Raw genomic sequence first — 7,018 nt, forward strand, 5'->3', positions numbered from 1 at the left:
TTTTTTTTTTTTTTTGGGCTTCATGCTCTTTGCTTCCAATTTCATAGTCTTACACAATGATGCTTCATTCTCTTAAAATGGAATCCATTCATGTTATTTTGTTACCTTTTTTTAGAGACAGGGTCTTGCTCTATTCCCCAGGCTGGAGTGCAGTGGTATAATCACAGCTCACTGTACCCTTTACTTAAATAGACCTTAAGTTCCTGGGCTCAAGTGATCCTCCTGCCTCAGTCTCCCCAGCAGCTTGGACTACTGGCACACACAACCATGTCCGGCTAAATTTTAATTTTTTGTCCTCTCCCTCCCCCTCCCCCTTCCTCTCTCACTTTCCACAGTCTCCCTCTGATGCCGAGCCGAGGCTGGACTGTACTGCCACCATCTCGGCTCACTGCAACCTCCCTGCCTCATTCTCCTGCCTCAGCCTGCCAAGTGCCTGGGATTGCAGGCACGCGCCGTCTGTGTTTTTTGGTGGAGACGGGGTTTCGCCGTGTTGGCCGGGCTGGTCTCCAGCTCCTGACCGCTAGTGATCCGCCAGCCTCGGCCTCCCGAGGTGCTGGGATTGCAGACGGAGTCTCGTTCACTCAGTGCTCAATGGTGCCCAGGCTGGAGTGCAGTGGCATGATCTCGGCTCGCTACAACCTCCACCTCTCAACCGCCTGCCTTGGCCTCCCAAAGTGCCGAGATTGCAGCCTCTGCCCGGCCGCCACCCCGTCTGGGAAGTGAGGAGCGTCTCTGCCTGGCCGCCCATCATCTGGGATGTGAGGAGCCCCTCTGCCTGGCTGCCCAGTCTGGAAAGTGAGGAGCCTCTCTGCCCGGCCGCCATCCCATCTAGGAAGTGAGGAGCGCCTCTTCCCGGCCGCCATCCCATCTGGTAGGTGAGGAGTGTCTCTGCCAGGCTGCCCATCGTCTGAGATGTGGGGAGTGCCTCTGCCCGGCCGCGACCCCGTCTGGGAGGTGAGGAGCGTCTGAGAAGTGAGGAGACCCTCTGCCTGGCGACCGCCCCGTCTGAGAAGTGAGGAGCCCCTCCGCCCGGCAGCCGCCTCGTCTGAGAAGTGAGGAGCCCCTCCGCCCGGCAGCCACCCCGTCTGGGAAGTGAAGAGTGTCTCCGCCCGGCAGCCACCCCGTCCGGGAGGGAGGTGGGGGTCAGCCCCCCCGCCCGGCCAGCCGCCCCGTCCGGGAGGGAGGTGGGGGAGTCAGCCCCCCCGCCCGGCCAGCCGCCCCACCCGGGAGGGAGGTGGGGGGATCAGTCCCCCGCCCAACCAGCCGCCCCACCCGGGAGGGAGGTGGGGGGGTCAGCCCCCAACCCGGCCAGCCGCCCTGTCCGGGAGGTGAGGGGCGACTCTGCCCGGCCACCCCTACTGGGAAGTGAGGAGCCCCTCTGCCCGGCCGCCACCCCGGCTGGGAGGTGTGCCCAACAGCTCATTGAGAACGGGCCATGATGACAGTGGCGGTTTTGTGTAATAGAAAGGGGGGAAAGGTGGGGAAAAGATTGAGAAATCGGATGGTTGCCGTGTCTGTGTAGAAGGAAGTAGACATGGGAGACTTTTCATTTTGTTCTGTAGTAAGAAAAATTCTTCTGCCTTGGGATCCTGTTGATCTGTGACCTTACCCCAACCCTGTGCTCTCTGAAACATGTGCTGTGTCCACTCAGGGTTAAACGGATTAAGGGTGGTGCAAGATGTGCTTTGTTAAACAGATGCTTGAAGGCAGCATGCTCGTTAAGAGTCATCACCACTCCCTAATCTCAAGTACCCAGGGACACAAACACTGCGGAAGGCCGCAGGGTCCTCTGCCTAGGAAAACCAGAGACCTTTGTTCACTTGTTTATCTGCTGACCTTCCCTCCGCTATTGTCCTATGACCCTGCCAAATCCACCTCTGCGAGAAACACCCAAGAATGATCAATAAAAAAAAAAAAAAAAAAAAAAAAAAACATGGTTTCTCCATGTTGGTCAGGCTGGTCTGGAACTCCTGACTTCAGGTGATCTGCCCACCTTGGCCTCCCAAAGTGCTGGGATTACAGGCATGAGCCACTGTGCCTGGCCCCAAATGTGTTTTACATTTTCTTCCTATTTGATTCATCTTTGTCCTGCAACATAAATATGCTACTTTTCCACCGATAAAAAGACAAAATGGAATTTAAATCTGGCCTGGACTTCTCAAAAAAGTCAGTGTGATGAAAACATGTTCTAGATAAAACAGAAATGAGACTGGGCATGGTGGCTCATGCCTGAAATCCCAGCGCCTTCGGAGGCCAAGGCAGGAGAATCACTTGAGGCCAGGAGTTTGTGAACAGCCTGGGCAACATAGTGAGACCCCAGATCTACTAAAAATTTAAAAATTAGCTGGGCATGGTGGTGCATGCCCATATGTCTGGAGGCTGAGGCAGGAGGATCGCTTGAGCCCAGGATTTGGAGGCTGCAGTGAGCTATGATTGTGCCACTGCACTCCAGTGTGGGTGACAGAGTGAGACCCTGTCTCTAAAAAAAAAAAGAGAGACGAGATGATCAGGATGAGCGCAGTGGCTCACGCCTATAATCCCAGCACTTTGGGAGGCCAAACCAGGTGGATCATATGAGGTCAGGAGTTCAAGACCAGCCTGGCCTAGATGGTGAAACCCCGTTTCTACTAAAAATACAAAAATCAGCTGGGTGTGGTGGCGCACACCTGTGATCCCAGCTACTCGGGAGGCTGAGGCGGGACAATTGCTTGAACCTGGGAGGCAGAAGTTGCTGTGAGCAAGATTACACCACTGTGCTCCAGCCTGGGCAACAGGAATGAGACTCTGTCTCAAAAAAAAAAAAAAGGGGGAAGATCAAACACAATGCATCAACCTCCCGGAGCCATATAAACCCTAACCCTAACCCAGGAAGCAGGCAAGCCTGTGTGTGAGTTTCCACTCTATTGCTGGTACCACTCGGCTCTGGCAACCCGGAAGGCCACCTTCCCCTGTTGTTACTGTGTAAGGAGGAAGGAGCACTGCTTTGCAAGTCAGAAGCCTGGGTTGAAGCCTCTGCTTGGGTTCCTGCTGGCTGTGGGAATGTGGGGTTACCTTTCCCAGCTGGCCTCGTTTCCTTCATGTCCAATGCAGGGGTTCCAGTCACATGCGTTGGGCACCATTACATGTCCAAGCTGTGCCAGGATCTAGAAAAATGGCTGGACTCAGGCCAAGGGGCCTTCCTGTCTGGCAGTGAAAATAAGAGGAGATACCAAGGGCCCTGAGTCTGGAGGGGAAGTCATGAGCACAGGGCAGTGCCAGGGCCCGGGAGCTGCCACAGAGGAGCCCATCTTGGTGACAGACACCTGTAGGCACATCCGTGATGCCCAGTGCCCAACACAGGGAACTGGACAAACGTTTCATGCACGACTCTTTTTTCCCTTCTTGGCTACCTTGAGGACCTTGATTATAATAGTTATCCTTTTTTTCTTTTTCTTTTTTTGAGACTCTTGCTCTGTCGTCCAGGTTGGAATGCAGTGGCAAAATCTTGGCTCACTGCAATCTTCACCTCTCAGGTTCAAGTGACTCTCCTTCCTCAGCCTCCCTAGTAGCTGGGATTACCGGTGTGCACCACTAGGCTCAGCTAATTTTTGTATTTTTACTACAGATGGGGTTTCACCATGTTGGCCAGGCTGATCTTGAACTGCTGACCTCAGGTGATCTGCCCACCTGGGCCTCCCAAAGTCTTGGGATTACAGGTGTGAGCCACTGAGCCCAGCCGGATTATAATAGCCTTTTCATGCACCAGGGGCTTTATACTCATTATCTCATTTCATTCATATGAGTTGAAATCAGCTTATCCCCCATTTCACAGATGAGGAAACCAAGGCCCAGAGAGGTTAGGAATTCATCCAAGGTCACACAGCTAGGAAGTAGGATTCAAACCCAGACAGCCAGGCTGTAACACCTAGGCTCTTCTCAGGCTCATGCCCTTCCCAGGGGTCTGGGAAGCCCTGACCTGCAGCCTGTCACCTTTGTTTACCCCCCAGCCTCCAGGATATTATGTGTGCACCGGCGTGGGATCCTGGAACTGGCAGGAATTGTGGGTTGTGTTGGTCCCTAGACTCCCATCACCTATACGAAATATGGTTCCTTTTGTGGCTTGGGAGGCCATGGCCAGCCCTGCGATGCCATTGACTGGTGAGTGCATGCCTGGGACCAGGCTACAAAATCCCTCACACTCTGGGGTAGTCAAGGCTTATGAGGAAGTACCCAAAACTGAAGCTGGGATTTGGTCCAGGGAGATCCCAGTGTGCAGTACTACTTTGCAGGCAGGCAGAGGCCTCTTGGATAACATGGCCAGTGAAGCCAGATCTTGGTACCAGCTGCCCCTTACCCTGGCCATGGGCTGAAAACGTTGCCTTAAAAAATTGGCCAGGAGCGGTGGCTAACTCCTGTAATCCCAGCACTTTGGGAGGCCGAGGCGGGCAGATCACTTGAGGTCAGGAGTTCAAGACCAGCCTGGCCAATATGGTGAAACCCCATCTCTACTAAAAATGCAAAAATTAGCTGTGTGTGGTGGCAGGCGTCTGTAATCTCAGCTACTCGGGAGACTGAGGCAGGAGAATTGCTTGAACCCGGGAGGTGGAGTTTGCAGTGAGTTGAGATTGCACCGCTGTATTCCAACCTGGACAACAGTGCCAAACCCTGTCTCAAAAGAAAAAAATAATAATAATATAAAGTGGCCAGGTGTGTTGACTCATGCCTGTAATCCCACCACTTTGGGTCGAGGCAGGAGGATCACTGGAGCCCAGGAGTTTGAAACGAACCTAGGCAACAGAGTGAGACCCTGTCTCTATATTAAACACAAACACACACACACACACACACACACACACACACACACACACACACACACACAAAGGCAGCCAGACTATGCACTAGGAACTGCCCTGGGAATCCCTTTGTGTTCTCACAACAATCCCATTTCACAGATGAAGAAACCTAGGCACAGAAATATTCAGTAACGTGTCCAGGTGCGGTGGCTCACGCCTGTAATCCCAGTACTTTGGGAGGCTGAGGCAGGCAGATCATGAGGTCAGGAGTTCGAGACCATCCTGGCCAACATGGTGAAACCCCGTCTCTACTAAAAATACAAAAATTAGCTGTGTGTGGTGGCAGGTGCCTGTAATTCCAGCTACTCAGGAAGCTGAGGCAGGAGAATTGCTTGAACCCGGGAGGCAGAGGTTGCAATGAACCGAGATCACACCACTGCACTCCAACCTGGGTGACAGAGCAAAACTCCTTCTGAAAAAAAAAAAAAAAAGAAATATTAAGTAACTTGTCTGAGGCCACTTAGTTACCAAGACGTGGGAGCTGGGACTTGAACCCAGGCAGTCTGGCTGGATTCATGCCTGCAGCCTCTGCACTCCTGCTACTTACTGTGTGAGAAGCGCCTGTTCTGTGGAAGGTTGTGGGCTGAGATCTTTCCATGAGTTCCACTCATTTACCCCCAAGGCTGTTCTTAAAGACGGGCATGACAGTTATGCCCATTTTACAGATGGGGCCCTGAGGCTCACAGGGGCATGCCACTCACCCATTTCCACAAAGCTATAGTTAGTTAGCAGAGGGCAGAATTCGGCCGCCTCTCCCCTAGCTTGAAGGCTGTGATTGACACAGAGGTTTTTTTGTTGTTGCTGTTGTTTGTTCCTTTTTCTTTTTTTTGAGACAGGGTCTTGCTCTGTCATCCCGGCTGGAGTGCAGTGGTGCGATCTCAGCTCACTGCAAACTCTGCCTCCAAGATGCAAATGATTCTCGTGCCTCAGCCTCCCAAGTAGCTGGAATTACAGGTGTGCACTACCACGCCCAGCTGTTTTTTGTAGAGATGGGGTTAATAGAGATTTGTTTTATAGAGACGGGGTTTCACCATGGTCTCTACTAAACCCTGTCTCTACTAAAAATACAAAAATTACCCAGGCGTGGTGGCACATGCCTGTAGTCCCAGCTACTCAAGAGGCTGAGGCAGGAGAACCACTTGAACCTGGGAGGTGGAGGTTGCAGTGACCCAAAATCATGCACTCTAGCCTGGGGTCTCGCTTTTGCCCAGGTTAGAGTGCAGTGGCACAATCATAGTGGCTCACTGCAGCCTCAAACTCCTGGGCTGAAGGGAATCCTCCCACGTCAGCCTCCCAAGTAGCTAGGACTATAGGCATGTGCCATCATGGCGAGTTAATTTTTTGTGTGTTTTTATTGTCTTGAGACAGAGTCTTGCTCTGTTGCTCAGGCTGGACTGCAGTGGCATGATCTTGGCTCACCGCAACCTCCACCTCCTGGGTTCAAGCAATTCTCCTACCTCAGCCTCCCGAGTAACTGGGATTACAGGTGCGTGCCACCATGCCTGGCTAATTTTGTATTTTTAGTAGAGACAGGGTTTCGCCGTGTTGGTCAGGCTGCTCTCGAACTCCTGACCTCGTGATCCACCTGCCTCGGCCTCTCAAAGTGTTGGGATTACAGGCATGAGCCACTGAGCCTGGCCTGGTGAGCTAATTTTTAAATTTGTTATAGAGACAAGAGTCTCTCTTATGTTGCCCAGGCTGGTCTCGACCCCCTGGCCTCAAGTGATCCTCCCACCTCAGCCTCCCAAAGTGCTGGGATTACAGATGCGTGTCACCGCACCTGGCCTCTGAGGAGGATTTCATTATAAACCTGCCCTGAAGGGAGGGAATCCAATTTTACGAGAGGGTGTAGCCTGGTGAGGCCTGGATGACCTCCGGAGGCAGGGGCTTGTGCCTGGGCTGAGGCCTAAGGGACAATGGGCAGACATGAAGTTGCCCCAGGCAGAGGGTACAGTGTGGGCAAAGTCAGGAAGTGGCAGGGCTTGGATCACTCCAGGAAGAGAGAGGAGTCATGTGTCACAGGAGCTCGAGACCCAGAGAGTGAGGCAGGCAGGCAGGGACCAAGCTTGGGCACAGCCAGGAAGGCAGGACAGGGCATGGTGGGGCCAATGGAATCATTATCGAAGTCGGGGATTTTCAGGGAAACAGCTTAGATAAGGCCAGGCATACAGTAGCTCCCACCTGTA

At 53.0% G+C, this 7,018-nt stretch overlaps 1 annotated feature.

Moving 5' to 3' along the window:
• Positions 222-1,102: an enhancer, noted in NCBI's record as "H3K27ac hESC enhancer chr16:28459200-28460080 (GRCh37/hg19 assembly coordinates)". NCBI's record gives its function as "activates a minimal SCP1, AML or CMV promoter by ChIP-STARR-seq in primed H9 embryonic stem cells {active_cell/tissue: H9 hESC(primed)}" and the evidence as "EXISTENCE:reporter gene assay evidence [ECO:0000049][PMID:30033119]".

This window comes from Homo sapiens, chromosome 16, assembly GCF_000001405.40.
Source record: "Homo sapiens chromosome 16, GRCh38.p14 Primary Assembly".
NCBI lineage: Eukaryota > Metazoa > Chordata > Mammalia > Primates > Hominidae > Homo > Homo sapiens.